Consider the following 23,673-nt stretch of genomic DNA (forward strand, 5'->3'; position numbering starts at 1 on the left):
TGGAGACTGTTATTCTAAGTGAAGTAACTCAAGAATGGAAAACCAAACATCGTATGTTCTCACTTATAAGTGGGAGCTAAGCTATAAGGATACAAAGGCATAAGAGTAATATAATGGACTCTGGAGATGCGTGGGAAGGTATGGGAGTGGGGTGAGGGATAAAAGACTACACACTGGGTGCAGTGTACACTGCTTGGGTCATGGGTGCAACAAAATTTCAGAAATCACACCTAACGAACTTATCCATGTAGCCAAACCCCACCTGTTCTCCCAAACGATTGAAATAATTAATAATAATAAAGGTGAGATCCAGAACAAAAAAAGATGAGCCCATGAGGTGCACTTCTTGAGCAACACAATTCAATTTATTTAATTTTACCTCAATGATTGTGAAAATATAGTTTTTCAATATTCTAAAGTCACGACTCTCATATACCTACAAAGTAAAAATATTTTTAAAAGAATTTTCTCTGCCTCTCAATGAAGGAGCCAGTAGGATGATAAAGCTTGATTCAAAGAGTACTTGAGGAAGTGAGTGTTCACAGGTATTTTTAAAAATGTTAGAGTAGGCTGGGGGCAGTGGCTCATGCCTGTAATCCCAGTACTTTGGGAGGCCGAGGCGCGCGGATCATGAGGTCAGGAGATCGAGACCATCCTGGCTAACACGGTGAAACCCTGTCTCTACTAAAAAATACAACAAAAATTAGCCAGGCGTGGTGGTGTGCGCCTGTAGTCCCAGCTACTCGGGAGGCTGAGGCAGGAGAATGGCATGAACCCGGGAGGCGGAGCTTGCAGTGAGCCGAGATCTCGCCACTGCACTCCAGCCTGGGTGACAGAGCAAGACTCCGTCTCAAAAAAAAAAAAAAAAAAAAGTTAGAATCAAAGTACGATTGCCTTTTATACCAGTTCGTAAAAGGAAACAAATTCTGAAGAAACAAGTGTTGATACTTTCTCATTATACATATGCAAATTTTCCTCTATAAATACTTTGAACAATTAGTTTTGAATTAAATGTTGACTCTGTAAGCTTGAGTGACAGTAGATATTGTATTTGTCTTCTCATGCATCACCTGGAAAATTTGTGTGAGACTTTTTACAGATAGCAAATACTTGAAAACTTAAGAAAAAGTTGGCGAAAAACAATTTTGAGAAGATAAATGTTATATAAGCTGGGCCTTCAGGACCTTTGAAAGCTAGGAAAATTTTTATTTACTTTGCATAGGATAATGACAATAGCCATAAGAGACTGGGGCATGTGTTGAAGAAAGAAGAGTTTTCAGAGATGATGATTAGATGCTTCTTAGCAAAAGTAAATTTGTAGAAAGGGAAGCCCAGAAGCAGATCAGAAATATGTAATTATGGAAGTTATTTTTAAGTTTTTTGCAACATGAAATTTGAAATAAATATGAAATAAACTTTCTCCTGCGTGTTCTTAGAATATCTTCATCATTTGTGTGATTAAATTTCTTGTGCATAAAAAAATGGGTAATGCTTATAAGAGAAGCTAGAAACTCAAAGATAAGCAGACATCCATAAAGGAAAGAAAGGCAAAGTGGAGCTAGGGATATAAAAATTACTTGTAATCCATTTTGGCTCTGCTCAGTTGGGCAGTTTCTGGTTTCTCCATATTAATCTTAAAGAAGAAATCAGCAGCCATTTATAAAATGATAAATCCTCATCATAAACATTTTAAAAATGTTGCAGGCTTTAAAAGGAGATATTTTAAGAATCCTGTGTGATGCTTAAATAGTTAACAAGAAGATTTAATTTTCTAATTGCTATTAGAAACTTAGGGAAAAAAATGGACCAGCATATAGAGCCTACACAGAAATAAAACTTAAATAGCATTGATATTTAAAGTTTTATGTTTCTCTTTCCTCCTAGTTCAAACCGGCTAATATGATTTGTAGGAAATCAGTTGGTAAAGAATGCGATTTCACTGAATATTGCAATGGGGACCTTCCATACTGTTTGCCTGACACTTATGTACGTGATGGAGAATATTGTGATTCAGGTGGAGCCTTCTGTTTTCAAGGAAAGTGTCGGACTTTTGACAAACAATGTGATGATTTAATTGGAAGAGGTAATAATCATAATTTTCTTCTTAGTCCCTAAATTCTGATTATTCCAAACTCTGTTATTGAATTTTATGGAACAAAAATGTAAATGTATGTGTTAATGACTGAATTCTTGCATAATGTATATTAGTGTTAAAGAAAAAACAAAATTATCTTTTCTTTTTCTTTTTTGAGACGGAGTTTCTCTCTGTCGCCCAGGCTGGAGTGCAGTGGCCTGATCTCAGCTCACTGTAACCTCCGCCTCTTTGGTCCAAGCGATCCTCCTGGGTTCAAGCGATCCTCCTGCCGCAGCCTACGGAGTAGCTGGGATAACAGGAGCACACTGTCATGGGTGGTTAAGTTTGTGTTTTTAGTAGAGACAGTGTTTCACCATGTTGGCCAGGCTTGTCTCAAACTCCTAGCTTCAAGTGATCTGCCCACATCGTGCTCCCAAAGTGCTGGGATTACAGGCACGAGCCACTGCGCCTGGCGCAAAAACAAAATTTTCATGATTGTGAAATACAACAACAAAAAACCTCTCTGAATTTATATGGAATTTCTGTAGGAACAGAAAATAAACCTCAAGTGAAAATGCAGTTTTTCAAAATATTATATAGAATTTGTGGTGGGGGTTTAGTTTAAAGGAAACAAGGTTTCTTAATCAGAGGAAAGCAGGGCTAATCACTGATTAGTTGGGTTTCTAAGCGCTTGCTGAAAAGTGAGGGCTTCAGTTCATTAGCAATCTAGTCCATTTTGATAATTTCCTATAAATGTCATTTGCTTGATTGGAAGATACAAATTCCTGAACGTATGCAGTGCATGTTCTCCGAGAGAGTGAAATTTTTCATTCTTAGCCCTCCCTTGAGGTCTTCTCTAACCAGGTCATAGATCTCTAAATATTGTCTACAGCAATGTGACTGCCAGGAATTTAAGGAGAAGGTGAGATGGGGGTTTTGATGATTTTCATAATTTTGTCCTGCTTTTCTAACAGAATCATTATTTGTACCATATGGCAAGACAATAGCTATAGACTTTAAAACATTGTTAACATACAAACAAAGAGCTGGGGCCAGTAGCTCATGCCTGTAATCCCAGCACTTTGGGAGGCCAAGGCGGGCGGATCACAAGGTCAGGAGTTCAAGACCAGCCTGGCCAACATGGTGAAGCCCTGTCTCTACTAAAAATACAAAAATTAGCCGGGTGTGCTTGGGATGAGGCGGGATAATCGCTTGAATCCAGGAGGCCGAGGTTGCAGTGAGCTGAGATCACGCCACTGCACTCCAGCCTGGGCGACAGAGCAAGACACCGTCTTGGAAAACAAAAACAATAACAAAATCATTCAAACGAATGACCAGTAAAATTAGGAGGAATGGGACAGTACTTCAGATCTATGATCTAATGTTTCTTTAAGTAAAGCCAGGACTCAATGCTAGGCAGATAAAATTAGAGCCACATAGTGGATTGCCAATCAGGTGTCTTCCGGGTTATGCCATTCACTGTGTATTTAGTATTATCAGTGATTTTAAGAGATTTTAAAGTCCTTTGTGAGAACTGTGGGAGTACACGGGTATTTGCCCCAAAGAGTACAGTTTTTTTTTTTTGGAAGGCAAGCATGACTTCTAAAGCACCTTGATTTCAAAATAATGTATGTCCACTTCTAGTGACCATGTGTTCATGCATCTAGGACGTGATAATTCTGGACTTGACTACCAGTTTTTGTACTTATTTTTGAAAAACAATCTCACTTTGCTAGCCCCCTGAGGGCAATAGAAGCCTGATGAAAATTTACCCTCAATGGTAGCTGTATTTCAACGCATATTAAATCCAGTTCTTTGTACAATAACATGCTATACGGGTTTGCAGCCTAGGAGCAATAGGCTACACCATATAGCCTAGGTGTGTAGCAGGCTATACCATCTAGGTTTGTTTAACTACACTGTATGATGTTCACACAACAATGGATACATTGCTCAGAACATATCCTCATCATTAAGCAACTGATGACTGTACTCAGTAAATATAAGGTATTATTATTATTATTAGATTATGATGTGTGTTCCCTACAAATATCCAATTATTTGAGTAGGTCATCTATGACCTGTCATGGTTGGCTCAAATGATCCTTGAGCAGGGTTTGATATAATTCTGAAGTAGGCATTAGTTTTGCTTGGTAAAACCTATATGCTATTTGTAGGAAACAGACAATAAGAATTCTTATACCACAGGCCTAATACAAATCATCATGCCCCCCCAAATTGTTGATTTCTGGACAAAATATACTAATGAAGTTGTCACATTGAAAGACATAGCTTATTTATCAAGCAATGGCATTTAAAATAGGGAAATCTGTAGATCTATGGTAAAAGAACGAGGTTAAGTATTAAGCTTTTTTTTTTTCAAAAAAATCAAACCAGTGAAGGAAAAACACCTCAAATGGTTACCACCTTTTTCTAAGCTCTTTACTAAATTTTGTTTTTGGAAATGTCTGGCCCCTACAGCATGCTCCTCTTCAGTGTTATCTCTGCAAATGCAGAAACTTCCTATTGTAGGTATAATATAAAATGATGTTATTACCTTTGGTGTTATTTGGTTTGTGGTTATGTTTGCCCTAATAAGGCTGAAAGTCTCATGAGTTGTAAAGTTCCATATATTATTAGAGGGCTTTATGACCAAGTTGAGTTGTATATCATCTAGACAAATGTTAAGTGCTAATCCAACCGTTATACAAGGGTTTCTCAACCTCAGCACTAGTGATAATGTAGGCCAGCTCATACTTTATTGTGAGAAGTGGGGGCAGGGAATGCTTCTCCTGTGCATTGTAGGATATTTGGCAGCGTCCTTGGCCTCTGCCCACTAGACAGGATGCCTGGAGAGACTTTTGGTTGTCCCAGCTTGGATGGGGTGAATCTTGGCTTCTAGTGAGTACAGGTCAGGGGTGCTGCTAAATGCTTTGTAATACACAGGATAGCCTCTACAACAAAGAATTATATCTGCTGTGCTGTGTTGAGACCTCCTTCTCTAGAGAGGGCCAGAAGTTTGACTACTTAAGCTGATTAAGACTCTGAAAAAGGATTATATTCCACACTAAAGTATGAACAGTCTTTGCAAAACTAACCTGGTAATGTTTCTTTTTCAATTTTTAAGATATGATTTATCAAAAACCATATTGGATCAATATTCTTATGAAAGTGGCACAAAGGTTGGCTCTGGGCGTAGATATTTTCCAAACCATAGAAGCATACTTACCAGGGACGTGTAAAAGATTTGCTGGATTATTGAATAGTTGTGTGAGAAGGAGAAATAAACAATATTTCATGATTATTTAATCAACTAATAAAATATGTTCAGGGTTTTCAGCATCTATATTCAGGCTTATTTAGTATATAGCACTATAAAATTTAAATGTAATCCTTATACAAGGTCTGAGGATGCTTCAACTAATTTATCTAAAGCTACAATTGCTCTGGATTTAAGAAACAGACTACAAACAGGTGATGGAGCTTTGATGAGCACTGGGCAGTTAGGTAAATATTCCTATAATGTGACTTGACCTTTAATGAACACATAGACACTAACATTTATGATAATCTGGAAAACACAGTAAAGATGTGAAGGCTGCTTTGGGGTCCTGAAGGCATCTTTTACCTCTCAGTTCACTGAAAGATATTCTGAAATGTTTGAAAAAGTAAAATCATGTATGGAACTTAGTATTCCATAAAATTAGGAACCAATTGTATATTTAGCCATTTAATCCTGGACATCCTTAAATTTATAAATGTCTTTCAGAAGTTTCTTTTGGATAATTATGAATAGTCAACAATCTTTTGACTATTTCAGACAAAGTTCTTCCTTTGGCTGACAAATTATGGCTAGGTGATAAAATAGGATAGGGAAGCTTTTCCTTAAAAATTTTATACTTCCTTTTAGCCAATGGAATAGATAAATATATAGAGATAGCTTGAAAACTCCAAATAAGTACAGATAGGAGATCGCCTACTTTGGGCAAAGGTAGATCTGGAAGGAAACTTTATATTTTGAGATGCTGATTTAAACCATGAGAAAAGTAAGGTGGATACTCAGAAAAGCCTTAATGTATTATTGTCGAAGTATTATTGTTCTGTAGCACCTTGTACATGTATGGATTGTGCTCCTTAACTGAGTGAAATTTACAGATCATGTTCTCCAAGTATGAAAGTCTGTGAAATTATTGAAGATAGCTCTCTTGTCAATTAATAGTGGTAACAACAAATGATCTCTATTTTGATTACATATGACTAACATGATCAACGTAAACTACGTCTAAACTACTAAGTCAAAGTAATAGGACAGTTATTATAGATGTTTGAATTTTTCAGAATTTTAAAATTAGACATAACTAAATATATAAAGGACTGAAGTAGATGAACATTGATATTCTAATTTTAAAATTCAACAATTTTTATTTAGTGATTATTAGGATCTAATAATTATTAAGATCTAATAATCTAATAATAGATTATGACTCTAGTGTGGAGCAAGGAGAGTTAAATGAAGTGTTCTTTGTGTTTGTCATCATTATTGCACTAAAGATACTATTTTTCTACTGTTTCATTTAGAATAAGAGTAAACAGCATTTTCACAACGGGTAGGGAAGTAAGGCAGGAAGTAAATAATTTATAGGAAATAGAGAGGGCGACAGTTGCTTATTTGTCTAACAATACAGAAGCATTCTAATAATGTTGTTGTTTGTTTTCTGTTTCTGCAGAAGAAAGTCTTCTAGGCTTATAAAAAGGAGTTTGTTTTTTAATCCTAGCTCTGCCCCCAGAAACTTTTTAGTCCTGGGTAATTATAAACTTTCTTATGGATCACATTGTAATTTCCAGATTGAGTCTTTCATTTCTTTAATATAACTTAAATTCTGTATTGTAATTTACTTAAGTTTTTGTTGTTGTTCATAGGTTCAAGAGGTGCTCCGGTTTTCTGTTATGATGAAATTAATACCAGAGGAGACAATTTTGGAAACTGTGGCACTGCACACTGTCTTTTTCAGTATGTATTTAGAAAATTATAAAACTGTTTGGAATGTAGGTTAGAGATTGTTAAAATCCTAGGAAATATATTATATGCAGTAAAATCGAATGTTGGGGGTCAGGTTTTCTTTATTACATCATCTGAGCTGGACAATATTATCCACTGCCTACAAGAACATTTGTTCAGCGCCTATAATGTTAAAACAACAATGACCATAAAAATGTCCTCTGTTTATTGTTGTGATGAGCTAGACATTGTTATGCAGCTTATATATATTATATATTTATAATATAGGTTATATTATTCAATTTATGTACATCAAATGTGTATAAGAATTACTTATCCCATTTACTATTGAAAAAACTGAAGACCAGAGATCATTTTCTCAAATTTCAGCAGCTATTGTGGAACAGATCACAGCTGTCATAGTGTAAAAACCATTAGTTTTTCACTTGCCAGATTGCCTCATGAAACAAAAAAGAATCATAACATAAGTCATTGTGCAAAAAAATATGTACTGAGAGAAAATAGTTGAAATTTGGATTTAAATTAGTAAATCACTTTTTAAAAATTTCACTGTATCAGCAACCTATGTTATCTCAATAAACAATAAGGTAATTTTTTTCTTCCTTGTGCTTCTAGACATATTCTATGTGGAAAATTAGTCTGTACATGGGAACACAGAGACTTAATATCACGTCCAAATTTATCTGTGATTTATGCACATGTACGAGACCAAACATGTGTGTCTACATACCTACCCAGGAGGACGCCACCTCCAGTAAATTCACCTATTTCAATCACATCATATTATTCAGCTGAAGACAGAGATGAAACATTTGTACAAGATGGTTCCATGTGTGGTCCTGATATGGTAATTAGAACTACACAAATTAAAGTGTTTTAAAATGATTTTTCTGGTTATACTCATTTTGACAATGTACTAACCAATGCATTTTCTTCCATTTTTTCTTGTGGTAAAATGCACGTAATATAAAAATTGCCATTTTAACCTTTTTAAGTGTACAATTCAGTGGTATTATATACATTCATAATGCTGTAAAACCATCACCACCCTCTATCTTCATAAATCTTTTCATTTTGTAAAACTGAAACTCATTTCATTAAACAATAACTCCCCATTCCTACCTCCTCTGATCCCCTGAAAAACCACCATTCTACTTTCTGACTCTATAAATTTGACTATTATAGGTATCTCACATAAGAGGAATAATATAGTATTTTTCTTTCTGACTGGCTTATTTCACTTAGCATAAGGCCCTCAAGTTTCAGCTATACTGTAGTATGTCAGAATTTCCTTCATTTTTAAAGCTGACTACTATTCTGTTGTATGTACGTTCTGCATTTTGTTTATCTATTCATCTGTTGATGAACATTTGGAATCATTCCATGTTTTAGCTATTATAAACAATGCCACTATAATCATGGCAGTATAAATATGTCTTCAAAACTGTGCTTTCAATTTCTGGGGGTATATACCTGGAAGTAGAATTGCTGGATCACATGGTAGTTCTATTTTTAAATTTTTGAGGAACTGCTCCACTGTCTTCCATGGTGGCTATACCATTTTACATTTCTACTAGCCATGCATAATGATTCCAGTTTCTCCACATCCTCACCAACACTTACTTTCCGTTTTTTTTTTTTTCGATAGTAGCCATCCTAATGGGTGTGAAGTGGTATCTCACTGTAATTTTGATTTGCATTTCCCTAATGATCTGTGATTTTGAGCATCTTTTCATGTGCTTATTGACCATTTGTATATGTTCTTTAGGGAAATGTCTATTTAAATGCTATTCCCGTTTTTAAATCATCTTTTTTGTTGTTGAGTTTTAGGAATTCTCTATATATTTTGGATATTACTCTCTTATGATATGATTTTAAAATATTTTCTTTCATTCTTTGAGTTGCCTTTTTACTCTGTTGATAGTGTCTTTTAATGCACAATTTAAAAACAACTACGAAATCCAATTAGTCTATTTTTTCTTTTGTTGCATGTACTTTTGGTGTCATATCCAATAAATGACTGGCCAAATCAATATTATGAAGCTTTTGCCCTATATTTTATTCTAAGAGTATTATAGTTTTAAGCTCTTATGTTTACCTATAGAATCCATTTCAAGTTCATCTTGGTATGTGGTGTTAGGTAAAGGTTCAGTTTTATTCTTTTGTGTGTGGACATCTAGTTTCTCCAGCACCATTTGTTGAAAAGACTGTCCTCTCTCCATTGAATGGTCTCAGCACCCTTGTAAAAATTCAGTAGTATCTCTTAACCATATATGCAAGCATTTGTTTATGGGCTATTTATGCTATTCCATTGGTAATATATTAGTCTTTATGCCAGTACCACACTGTTTTCTTTCCTGTAGCTTCCTAGTAAGTTTTGAAATTGGGAAATGTGACTCTTTTAGCTTTGTTCTTTTTCAAGATTGTTTTTGGGGTTCTTTGAGATTCTATATGAATTTTAGTATAAATTTTTCCATTTCTGCAAAAAAATCATTGGGATTTTTATAGTAATTGTATTGAATCTGTAGATCACTTTGAATAGTATGGACATCCTAAACTGCTTTGTTAAATTAATTCTTAAGTACTTTAAGTACTTTTTGATGCTATCATAAATGGAAATGTGTTCATAATATCCCTTTCAGAGTGTTCATTGTTACTGTATAGAAATGAAACCAGTTTTTATATGTTGATTTTGTATTTTGCCACTTTGCTGAATACATTGTTAATTCTAACTGTTTGGGGTAATCCTTAGAGTTTTCTACTTATAAAATTATGTCCTCTGGAAGCAGAAAAGTTTTAATTGTTCCTTTCCAATTTGGATGCCTTTTATTTCTTTTTCTTGGCTAACATCTCTGGCTAGAACTTCCAGTACAATGTTGAAGAGAAGTGGTGAAAGGAAGTATCCTTGCCCTGTTCCTGATCTTAGCGGAGAAGCTTTGAAGTCTTATCATTAAGTATAATGTCAGTTGTGGGATTTTTATATATGGATTTTTATCATGTTGAGGTAGTTTCCTTCTACCTCATGACTGAGTGTACTTTGAATGTTTGTGTCATGAAAGGTGTTGAATTTTGTTAAATGCCTTTTCTTTATCAATTAAGATGATCATTTTGTTTTTCTCCTTCATTCTATTAATGTGGTCATTACATCGATCAGCTATCATACATTGAACCATCCTTGCATTCCAGAAATCTCAATTGGTCATAGTGTATACTCCTAATATAGTGCAGTTTGCCAGCATTTTACTGAGGATTCTGCATCTATGTTCATAATGGTTATTGGTCTGTATTTTTTCTTTGTAGTATATTTGTCTGGCTTTGATATCAGGATAATGTTGGCCTTATAAAATGAGTTAGAAGATATTTCCTCTTCTTCATGTTTTTGGAAAAATTTGAGAAGAACTGGTGTTAATTCTTCTTTACATATTTGAAGGCATTATGTCCAGAAATTTTCTTCATAGGAAGGCTTATGATTATTAATTAATTAATTAAATTATTAATTAAATCTCCTTATGAGTTAGGAGTCTGTTCAGGTTTTTAAGTTCTTCATAGTGTTGATAGGTTTTGTTTCTAGGAATTTGTCAGTTTTATCAAGCTAATCCAGTTCATTGGTAAACAATTGATCTTGGTATTCTTATAATCCTTTCTATTTCTGTAGAATTGGTAGTAATGTTCTCACTTTTATTCCTGACTTTAGTAATTTGAGTTTTCTGTCTTTATTAGTACATCTAGATAAAGGTTTGTCAATTTTGTTCATCTTTTCAAAGAACCAATTTTTGGTTTCCTTAAGTTTATTGTTTTACTCTGTATTTTATCTCCACTTTAATCTTTATTTCCTTCCTTCTGCTAGAATTTAGTTTATTTATTTATTTATTTTTCTATTTCCTTAAGTTGTAAAGTTAGGTTGTTGATTTTAAATTTCTCTTCTTTTTTATTGTAAGCATTTATACTAATAAATCTTCCCCCTAGTACTTCTTTCACTGCATTCCATAAGTTTTGGGATATTGTGTTTATATTTCTATTTGTTTGTAAGTATTTTCTAATTTCCTTAGTGATTCCTTCTTTGATCCACTGGTTCCTTAAGAGTGTTTTGTTTAATTTCTATAGCTTTGTGGAGTTTACAGTTTTATTTAGATTATTTTTCCAAATTTTTAATTTACTTTTTTATTAGAAATTATTATTCTAAATTTTTTGATACATTAAACAATTTATTTTTAAATTTTTATATATTCATGGAGGTACATGTGCAGTTATTGGTGAAGTTTTGACATCCAGTGTGCCTGTCACCTGAATAATGAACATTGTCTCCAGTTATTTTTCAACTCTAACCCTCTGATTCTTCCTCACTTTTGGGGTTGCTGGTGCCTATTATTTCCATCTTTATGTCCATATGTACCTATTTTTTAGCTTCCACTTACAGGTGAGAACACATGGTATTTGATTTTCAGTTTCTGAGTTAGTTCATATATGATAATGATGTCTACCTTTATCCATGTTGCTGTACTGCATGGGACATGATTTAATTATTTTTATTGCTATGTCATAATTCATGTATTATATATCCTTATATGTCTAGATATATAATTCATTTATTATATATCATAATATATAATAAATGTATATATCATATATTAATATCATATATTTATATATATATTTATATATTATATATTTATTTATATAATATATTATATAACATATTATATATTTATATAATATATATTAATATATAAATATATATTTATATATTAAATTAATTTATATATATTTATTATATTATAATAATATATAATATATTATATAATATATTAAATAATATATAATATATTATCTAATATATTAGATAATATATAATATATTATCTAATATATTATAATATATTAGATAATATATTATCTAATATATAATATAATATATATTATATAATATATTATATAGTATACAATATATTATATAATATATTGTATACTATATATTATATTATATTAATATATATAAATTATATATTAATATAATATAATATATAGTATACAATATAATATATAATACATTATATTAATTCATACATAATAAATGAATTATATAATTCATATATAATAAATTCATATATAAATAATATATAATAAATTAATTATATACCTAGATATGTAGATATATAATACATGAATTACTACACAGTAATGTATATAATATAAATACATAAATAATGTATAACATAAATTCATTTAATTATTGTATATGATAAATGCATATATTATATATTGTATAATTAATGTAATTTATTATATATAATGAATTCTTATATATAATAAATGAATTATATATCTAGATATATAAAGATATTTATAAAAGATATTTATATATAAAAGATAAAGATATATATCTAGATATATAAATATCTTTATATATCTAGATAAATAATTCATTTATTATGTATTATATATTTATATAATTAATTATATATTATATATAATAAATGAATTATATATCTGTTACCTTTATACCTGAATTATATATATGTGTTACCTTTTCTCCACATGAATTATGTATATGTGTTACCTTTTCTTCACATATATATAATTATCTATAAGTGTTACCTTTTATCCACATCCTCACCAACATCTGTTGTTTTTAGACTTTTTAAGAATAGCCATTCTGAGGCATGGCGCGGTGGCTCACGCCTGTAATCCCAGCACTTTGGGAGGCTGAGGAGGGTGGATCACGAGGTCAGGAGATCGAGACCATCCTGGTAAACACTGTGAAACCCCGTCTCTACTAAAAATACAAAAATAATAGCCGGGCCTGGTGGCAGGCACCTGTAGTCCCAGCTACTCGGGAGGCTGAGGCAGGGGAATGGTGTGAACCCGGGAGGTGGAGCTTGCAGTGAGCAGAGATTGTGCTACTGAGCTCCAGCCTGGGCAACAGAGTGAGACTCTCTCTAAAAAAATAAAAAATAAAAAATAGCCATTCTGACTGGTGTGAGATGGGGCATCATCATAATTTTAAATTACATTTCTCTGATCTTTGGTGATGCTCAGCATTTTATCGTATGTTTGCTAGCCACTCGTATATCTTCTTTTGAGAGATGTCTGTTCATGTTCTTTGCCCACTCGTTACTGGGATTATTTGTTTTTCAGTTGAGTTGTTGCATTCCTGGTGGATTCTGGATATCAGTTCTTTGTTGGATGCATAGTTTGCAAATATTTTCTCCCATTCTGTAGGTTGTCTGTTTACTCTGTTGTTATTTTTTTGCTATGTAGACACTTTTTTAGTTTAATTAAATCCTATCTATCTATTTTTTTTGTTGTTGCATTTGCTTTTGGAGTTTTAGTCCTAAGTTCTATTTGGGGTTTTAATCCTAAGTTTTTGTCCAGAAGAGTTGTTTCCTAGACTTTCTTCAGGAATTGTTATAGTTTCAGGTTTTAGGTTTAAGTTTTGAATGCATCTTCGGTTAATTTTTGTGTATTGTGAAAGGTAGGGGTCCAGTTTTATTCTTCTGCATTTGGCTAACCAGCTATCCCAGAACCATTTATTAGATAGAGAGTCCTTTCCCCATTTCTTATTGAATTTTGGGTGTGGCTCTTTTATCCTGCAACTGTCCTGTGTTAAATTAGTTGTAGGAGTTTGATTGTGGACTTCTTGGGATTTTTTTATGTAGAAAATAATTTGGAAATAGAGACCATTTTATTTTTTCCTTTTCAATCTGTATATGTTTTATTTCTTTTTCTTGCTTTACTGCAGTGGTTAGAACTTACAGTATGATGTTGAATAAGAGTGTTGAGAGAGGATGTCTCTGACTTTTTCCTAATCTAAGAGGAATGTATTAAGTCTTTCATCATTAAGTATGTTAGATGTAGGGTTTTTTCTTTTTTGCAGATGCCCCTTAAGTTGAGCTAACCGTCTTCTACTGCTAATTTATTGCAGGTTTTTATTATACTTGTGTCTTGAATTTTGTCAAATGCTTTTTGTGTGTCGATTGATGTGGTCACATGAGTTTTCTTCTTTAGTTCATTGAATGTTGGATTACATTAATCAATTTTTAAATGTAGAAACAGCATTACATACTTGGTATTAATATCACTTGGTCATTGTGTATAAATTTTTTATACATTGTTGCATTTAGTTTGCTAATATTTTGTTGAATAATCTTTGTAACCAAATTCATGAGGGGTATTGGTCTGTAGTTTTTTTTTTGTTGCAATGTATCTATCTGATTTTGGTCATTTTATATGGCATTATAAAATTAATTGAAAACTGTTTTTCACTCTTCTATTTTTGGAAAGAGATTATGTAAAATGTATGTTAATTTTTTTCTTTAAATGTTGATAGAATTCTCTAGTGAAATCATTTGGGCCTGGAAATTTCATTTTTTAGGAGGTTTTAAACTATGAATTCAATTTCTTCAATTGTTGTATTGGTCTTCAGATTATAAGCTGTTTCTTGGTGATTTTTGGTTGCTCATAGTTTCCCAGAAATTGGTCAATTTCCTCAAAGTTTCTGAATTTATAAATATAAAGTTGTTCATAGTATTTCTTTATAATTCTGTGTAATGGCTGCAGGATCTGCAATGATATCCTCTATCTCATTTCTGATATTGGTGATTTCTGTCTTCTTTTTTTAACTTCTCAGTCTTGCTAAAGTTATTAATTTCATAAAAAATTTTCAAAGCATCTGCTTTTTGTTTCGTTGGTTTTCTCAGTCTAGCTAAAAATTTATTAATTTCATAAAAAATTTATTAATTTCATAAAAAATTTTTAAAGACTCCACTCTTTGTTATAATGGTTTTCTTTATTATTTTCCAGCTTTTAATTTCATATAGAACTAGCAATCAATTTCATTGATTTCTGCTTTTATTATCGTTTACTTTCTTTTGCTTTGAGTTTAATTTCTTCTTCCTTTCCTCCAGTTTCTTGAAGTGGTAACTTCAATGATTGCTTTGAGGCTTTTTCTCATTTATAGCATTTGGTCTTATAAATCTCCCTCTCAGAACTGTTTTAGCTGCATCCTACATATTTTAATGTATATTTTTGTTTTCCTTTGATTCTATGTATTTTTTTTTAGTTTCTTTGAGGGCTATTTGATACATGAATTGTTTATAAATGTATTGTTTAATTTCAACATATTTAGAAATTTTCCTGTTGTATTTCTTTTATTGATTTCAGGTTTGATTTTATTATTATCAGAGAACATGTTCTCATAATTTTAATTTTTAAAAACTTGTTGAGGTTTTCTTTATGGTAAGGAGTATGATATATCTTGCTGCATATTCCATAGGCACTTGTAGAAATGTATATTCTGTTGATACGGGTTGTAGTGACCTGTATATGCATCAGTTAAATCCTGTTTTGTCCAGATTCCTGTATATCTGCTGACTTTCTGTATAATTTCTGTAAATTGCTGAGACAAAGGTGTCAAAATATCCAACTGCAATTGTGGCTTTGTCTATTTTCCTTTCAGTGCTATTACTTTTTGCCTTATGTTTGGAGGCTTTGTGGTTTGGGATGTAGACATTTAGGAGAACTGTGTATTATTGTTGGAATGATTATCATATCATGACATAATGTCTTCATTTGTCTCTAGTAATTTTCTTTGCTCTGAAGTCTACTGTATCAGATATAAATATAGCTACTCCTGCTTTTATGGATAAATGTTTGAATGATATATTTTTTCTGTCCTTTTTATTTAAATCTATCTCTGCCATTGAATTCGAGGTGAGTTTTTAAAAGCATCACAGAGTTGAGTCATGCCTTCAATACAGTGTGGCATGTCTTTTGGTTGGTATAATGTTATTGCCTAAGTATGTTATTTCATTATTTGTTTCCTCTGGTTCCCATTCTTATTTTTCTCTTTTCTTGCCTTTCAATGGGTGATTTAAACATTGTTTTAGGATGCTATCTTGATCCAGTTATAGTGTTTCTAAGTTAGCCATGTCTTTCTGTAGTTTTCATAGTGGCTGCTCAAGGTTTTATGATATATGTATGTGGCCTAAAGAGGCTACTGCTATAAACATTTTGCCACTTTGAGTGAAATGAGAAAACAACCTCATTCCCATTTTAGTTGTGTTTACCTTCCCTACATTTAAGTATCATTGGTGGTGTTATAATTTTTGTTTCAATCATTAACTATAATTTTAAAAACCTATAAAGAAATGGATAGTCCATTTTATTTACTCATCTTCCTTTCCCTGTTTTTTTCTTCCTTTGTGGTGTTCCAAGATTTTTGATAAACATTTCTTTGCTATTTCAAGTTTACTGATTTAAGCTCAGTCACTTGGCTTTTTTTAAAATTTAGGTTATTGTATTTTTTCATTCTATAATTCCCATTTGGTTTATTTTTATATCACCTGTTCCTTTGCTAAGATTTTTGTATTTTTTTATTTGTTTCAAGAAGATTTGTAATTGATTATTGATTTTTTTATAATAGCTGCTTTACAATCCTTGTCATGTAATCCCATCATCTGAATCATCTTGGTTCTGATATCAGCTGGTTGTCTTTTATCATTCAAGTTGTGATTTTCTTAGCTCTTGGAATGACTTAGTTGCATCCAGAAATTGTATTTATTATGTTAGGAGACTCTGTGTCAAATATAAAGCACTGTTTTAGCAGGAAGTGATCTTGTTTAGGTCTTGGCCTTCTTTTGTGGGCTGTTCCAAAGGCAGTTCAATGTTCAGAGCCTTTACAATATTATTTGGTTGGCTTGGTTTACCTATTGCCACTGGGGCTCTCCATGGTCTTTGCTGGTGCCTCCTGGAAGGATAGGAGATTCATCAGGCCAGCCAACTGCATGTCTCTCTGTAGGGGAGAGGTGTGGTGGAGTTCTCCATCAGGTCCCGTTTCTCACTCCCACAGTTTTCCTTATGTCTCTGGATAGAGAATGGGGTCTCAGACCTGCACATTCAAACAAGCCTCCTGTGCTAATATATTTGTTATGTTTCCATCTCTCCTTTTTGTTCTACCCATTCACCTGGTAATGTCTTTACATGGTATGAATTTTCACTCAAATGATTAAATAATCTTTAGGTGGACCTTAGGTGGGCCTCTTAAAGAATGTTTAAATAGAATATTGAAAAGTTAGGTAATTCTCCATTTTCCCTATTTATTTAAAAGTTCAGCAGTATATGTTATTAATCATCTTCACACCTCTTTTAAGAGTAATATAACATTTTAGTAATTTTTATACACACATTTTTTGATGTTCTGACATATAATCTAATAATTTTGCATACATTATTAGTGAGTAAATCTTTAGACAAGAGCTGAAGATCTCAAATGAATAATAGTTTTGGTTGAGTAAGATATTATGTGAGCAAGAATTTTTCTTTATTAGCATGGTTTTTGCGATAACATTTCTTGAATTGTATTTATTGTTTCAATAGAAAAGCCAAATGTATGTTGGTTTTTACTTTTTATAATGGACTCTGATTTTTTCCTGATTGGTAGATGAATACTTTACTTAAACTGACTATTATTATACTATTATGTTCTACTATAATATAATGCACATTATTGTTATTATTTATTTAACATACCAAAATATGAAAACAACATTAACAATTAATATAGCACAAAATAATTATGCAATATTATTGGAGACATGTAATATTCTATAAATTAAGTATATATTTAATACAATTTTAATATTCTAATTGATTTAAGTCAAAAAGATACTATGTGAAGTTAAATTAACATACTGTTTTTGAGAGAAAGCTTCTGAGTAGACTTGCTAAATACAAATTTATTTCTATTTAGTAACATTTTGATAATAAATAGCACATAAAAAGGAAACAGAGTCCCTGTTACTTCTTGCTCATTTTGAAACATATGGAATACAAATATGATCTGAAGCCTCCCTTACCCTTGAAATCTAAATGATATTAGCTCAAACCTCCATTACAGAGTCCTGACTCTCCTGTTTCTGCATATAGTCATTATTATGACCCAAAGACAAAACTCACTCCAGGTATAAAACTCTTTCACAACGTGGTGAATTTAGTGACAGTTTTTTGATAATTAAAGAAGATCACATAAATGTATGTCATAAATTAGAAAAATTTAATTTCATCCATGAAACTTTTCTTTCTTAGAAGGCCTTTTATCCAGCTCACCAAGGGAGTTTCCCATTGTCCTGTTACCTCATATAATTACCTGTTGTCCTTTCTTCCCTCTTTCTTTTTATTTTATCATATGGAATAGTAAACTATCTTCCCTTGCTGCTCATACTCATGATTTTAAGATCTCACTTCTCTGCTCAATAGTTCTCAAACCTGGCTGCTCCTGAGAAACAACTGGATCCTCTCCCCAGAGTTTTTGATATAATGCTCTCAAGGGGAGCCCACACATGGGTATATTTTAAAATGTTCTTCAGATAATTCTTGAACTCAAAGGACTAATCAAGTTATTTTTCCCAGTAGTTTATCTAAGTTGACTTCTGGTACTAAATGGAAAGAAAATAACACCTCTGGCTTCTTACATATGATTACATCTTTACAAACTGAAAGTACATAGTTTATTTCATGTTTACTTCAGTGTAGTCACAATTTTTTTTTCCACTGGACACTCACAGCTTTTTAATGCAAGTTTTTGATAATATGAATTCTAATATTTTCTTGAATTTTTGAATGTGTTAGCCAGGCACAAAATCTGATTTTTTGACTGATTTTATTTTGTACTTTTTGGCTTTGTTTTTAGTATTGTTTCGAAATGCATTGTAAACATGTTAGATTCCTGATGAATTTAAAATTGTGTGATGCTTCTAATCATTGTGATCGTCATGGAGTAAGTAACTGCAATGTTTATTTTAAACAACTTGCTTTTAACAATCAAACAATTTGAGGATTTTAAAAAAATAAATGACTTTTTTTGTTTGCCATTTTTATGTCATTTGGTGTCATTTAATAGTCTATAATTTATAACCTCAATTTTGTCTTCTTAAGAAACTTATCAAACTATTTATTAAAGAAGACAAAGAGAAAACATTTAAGATGATTCTGGATATATTAAATGTTTGATGGATATGTGAGGAGGATGTGCTATAAGCAATAGAAGATAGAAACTGGTAAATAAAGACCATTAGAATTTTCTTGCTAGTGCTGCAAGTTAATTTAGAGTCTGGGCTGTCAGCTAGCAAGTAGGTTATAATTAGTGACAGGTTACTGGTAATTTGAGGTATTTGGGCCTGGCTATGGGGGGAGTTAAAAGAATTTTTTAGAAAAAAATTTGATTTGACAACACAAGATAGATGTACTTTGTGTAGTATGAACATTAGCAAGGGAAAATTTGACAAATTTATCTATTTAGATAAATTCTCTAGAATGAGATACTCTGTGGAATAAGTATAGATTATTCATTAGTCTCCATCGAAATTATTCTTTTTTTTATTATTTAAGGTTTGCAACAATTTTAACCATTGCCATTGTGAAAAGGGATATAATCCTCCTTACTGCCAACCAAAGCAAGGAGCATTTGGAAGTATTGATGATGGACACTTAGTACCACCAACTGGTTAGTGTTCTTAAAATTGTATTAATTATGCACAGTATGTAAGATAGTAAATTATAGGTTTCAAGCCAGATTACAAAGCAACTAATGTCAACATGCTTTTTTTTATTTATAAGATTTAAAAAATGTTGACAGTGCAAGTTTATACTGTTCTTTCTATATCAGCATTGACATTCTTTACTGAGAAAAAGTATGGCCAATGTTAGGCAGTTTTAAAAGTAGAAATTTTGGTGTGTAAAATTTGACCAGTTAATTTAAACTGTTCACTTTGGATTATCTCCTATATTTATATTTACTATTATATTTATATTTACTATATTTATTATAAACTCCTATAAACTAGAGTTTATAATAGTGTCAGTATAGTCATTATTATATTAATGCCCCTAGAATCTTTCAGGCTGTCTTTTCTTCCTATTCACTTATAATTGGTTATTTTTCTCCTGCATTGTAAGGGCTCCATGCTAATCTTTGGAGATTTGCTCTTTCTAATCCTGTCCTGATGTTCCTGAGTAGTATTTTGAGATTAATCAGGCCTAGATGAATTGGGCTCAACTGGTGGTGAAGGGCATACCCTGGTTCTAGAAGGTATGAGCCTACCCAAAATAACTGGGAGCATAGATGGGCTGCGAACTCTACCCCCATCTCTCTCTTTTTTGTGTGTGTGAGACGGAGTTTCGCTCTTGTCCCCCAGGCTGGAGTGCAATGGCACGATCTCTGCTCACTGCAACCTCCGCCTCCTGGGTTCAAGTGATTCTCCAGCCTCAGCCTCCCAAATAGCTGGGATTACAGGTGCCCACCACCACGCCCAGCTTATTTTTGTATTTTCAGTAGAGACGGGTTTCACCATGTTGGCCAGGCCTCTACCCCCATCTCTTTTAGGACCTTGCAAGAAAGTCCTGAAACTTTGGGGCAGACTTATCTGTAGCTTGGGTGCTATATAAACACATACCTAGGTTGATCAACTTTTTAAAGAGACAATACAAAGCCACATCAAACTATGTATCAGACAAAAAAACCCCATAATAATTTAGCCTATAACCTGTAACTATACGCATATATTATTATTTTCACATGATAACATGAAAAATACATGTTTATTTGAATTATGTATTTTCAGTAAACAGTAGTTTACAATGAGAAACAGAAAGTCCTATAATATAGCAATTTAACTCTTTAAAAATCCTTTACTAGTTCATATGGAACCAAAAAAGAGCCCACATTGCCAAGTCAATCCTAAGCCAAAAGAACAAAGCTGGAGGCATCACGCTACCTGACTTCAAACTATACTACAAGGCTACAGTAACCAAAACAGCATGGTACTGGTACCAAAACAGAGATATAGACCAATGGAACAAAACAGAGCCCTCAAAAATAATGCCGCATATCTACAACCATCTGATCTTTGACAAACCTGACAAAAACAAGAAATGGGGAAACGATTCCCTGTTTAATAAATGGTGCTGGGAAAACTGGCTAGCCATATGTAGAAAGCTGAAACTGGATCCCTTCCTTACACCTTATACAAAAATTAATTCAAGATGGATTAAAGACTTAAATGTTAGACCTAAAACCATAAAAATGCTAGAGGAAAACCTAGGCAATACCATTCAGGACATAGGCATGGGCAAGGACTTCATGTCTAAAACACCAAAAGCAATGGCAACAAAAGCCAAAATTGACAAATGGATCTAATTAAATTAAAGAGCTTCTGCACAGCAAAAGAAACTACCATCAGAGTGAACAGGCAACCTACAGAATGGGAGAAAATTTTTGCAATCTCCTCATCTGACAAAGGGCTAATATTCAAAATCTACAATGAACTCCAACGAATTTACAAGAAGAAAACAAACAACCCCATCAAAAAGTGGGCGAAGGATATGAACGGACACTTCTTAAAAGAAGACATTTATGCAGCCAAAAGACACATGAAAAACTGCTCATCATCACTGGCCATCAGAGAAATGCAAATCAAAACCACTATGAGATATCATCTCACACCAGTTAGAATGGCAATCATTAAAAAGTCAGGAAATAACAGGTGCTGGAGAGGATGTGGAGAAATAGGAACACTTTTACACTGTTGGTAGGACTGTAAACTAGTTCAACCATTGTGGAAGTCAGTGTGGCGATTCCTCAGGGATCTAGAACTAGAAATACCATTTGACCCAGCAATCCCATTACTGGGTATATACCCAAAGGATTATAAATCATGCTGCTATAAAGAAACATGCACATATATGTTTATTGTGGCACTATTCACAGTAGCAAAGACTTGGAACCAAGCCAAATGTCCAACAATGATAGACTGGATTAAGAAAATGTGGCACATATACACCATGGACTACTATGCAGCCATAAAAAATGATGAGTTCATGTCCTTTGCAGGGACATGGATGAAGCTGGAAACCATCATTCTCAGCAAACTATCGCAAGGACAAAAAACCAAACACCACATATTCTCACTCATAGGTGGGAATTGAACAATGAGAACACATGGACACAGGAAGGGGAACATCACACACCGGGGCCTGTTGTGGGGTGGAGGGAGAGGGGAGGGAGAGCATTTGGAGATATACCTAATGTTAAATGACGAGTTAATGTGTGCAGCACACCAACATGGCACATGTATACATATGTAACTAACTTGCATGTTGTGCACATGTACCCTAAAACTTAAAGTATAATTTAAAAAAATAATAAATAAAAAAATAAAAATCCTTTACTGGGCATTTAAATTTTTATTTTTATTTTTATTTAAATTTCTATTTTTATTTAAAATTTTCAGCCTATATTATATACCCTGAAGGTACATAAATGTAAGACTTTCAAAGAAAGAACATAAATCAGCTAATTGCTTCAACTTGGGAGGTGGAGGTTGCAGTGAGCTGAGGGCATGACACTGCACTCCAGACTAGGTGACAGAGTGAGACTCTGACTCAATAATAATAATAATAATAATAATAATAATAATAATAAATACAGTCATTTAGCCTCCTTATCTGTGATATCTTGGTCATGCTGGTGTTCGTATTATAATTGTTCTATTTTCGTTATCCAAGTTCTTAGAAAACACAATTACAATATTCTCAATTTGAAAAATTATATGTGTGCTATCTTGATGCAAAGCACAACAGTGATTTTGTAGTGTACGTCAAAGATGGACTGTTAACACTGATGCTTTTGATACCTTTAAATTGCACATTTAAGTTACATTAATCAGAGTGAACACACAAATTGTGGTTGCCAACGTCAGCAGTAATGGAAAGAAAAAGAAAAAAAAGCAGCAATAGCAACTATAGAAGATGGATAATCGGTGATTTAGTCATTTGACACTAAAACAGTGTTGCTTTTAGTCCCTATTTTTTTCACCTTTTATATTTCGTTTTATATTAATATTTTATATTTGGTTCTTTTCCCTGCAACCTTCCACACTAGTTGCCAACCAGAAATTTTTCTGTCCCAGTGACAGATTCACTAGCATGTAAGACTTTCAGTACTACAACTAGGATAAGTTCTAGGCAAACCTATGTGATTGGTATCCTAGGCCTACCGCTCTAAGTCCAGATGGAAGTCCAGATCGCAGCACATGAGCCTGCAGTCAGAGAAAACCTTCTAACCCAACTAGTTTCCTTTAGCCAGCTGCCATGGGCTCTTCTTTCATCTCTTCCATTCTGGGGCTTACAGGTCTACCCTGAAAGACCTAGGCTGATATGCTAGTTGGCTGTATGTTTTGTCCCCATGTAGTCCCTTTGGAGGCCCTCTACCCAGTCAAGGAGGCCTTGAGCTTTCCCCAATAAAGCCTGGACTCAATGTGGGAGAAACACTTGTGATCCTGAATGCATTTTAGGACATAAAGAGTTTGGGCTGCAATGGTCATCTAAATGAGTCCAGGTTTATTTCATCATCCCCATTCTGCTTACTTTTAATGTCACTGCTTTGTGTTAACATAATATGACCCAGAAAAAATGTCAAATTATGGATTTTATGATTGCCTTAATTGTAAGCCAAAAACATTGTTGACTTTTGTTACTATTTCATGAATATTTTCAAGGAACTTACAATCTGTTCTACAGCTCTATGT

The 23,673-nt window shown here is 32.9% G+C and overlaps 1 pseudogene across 1 annotated transcript in view; it reads left to right on the plus strand.

Moving 5' to 3' along the window:
• Positions 1-23,673, plus strand: part of ADAM5 (ADAM metallopeptidase domain 5 (pseudogene)) — a 102,747-nt pseudogene that overhangs the window by 59,163 nt on the left and 19,911 nt on the right. The window contains exons 9-13 of the transcript NR_001448.2: positions 1,885-2,083; positions 6,995-7,085; positions 7,710-7,941; positions 18,780-18,866; positions 19,478-19,592. The product of NR_001448.2 is annotated as an ADAM metallopeptidase domain 5 (pseudogene) (transcript). The remainder of the gene's footprint in view (positions 1-1,884; positions 2,084-6,994; positions 7,086-7,709; positions 7,942-18,779; positions 18,867-19,477; positions 19,593-23,673) is intronic.

The sequence above is a fragment of the Homo sapiens genome, chromosome 8 (genome assembly GCF_000001405.40).
Source record: "Homo sapiens chromosome 8, GRCh38.p14 Primary Assembly".
Classification (NCBI taxonomy): domain Eukaryota; kingdom Metazoa; phylum Chordata; class Mammalia; order Primates; family Hominidae; genus Homo; species Homo sapiens.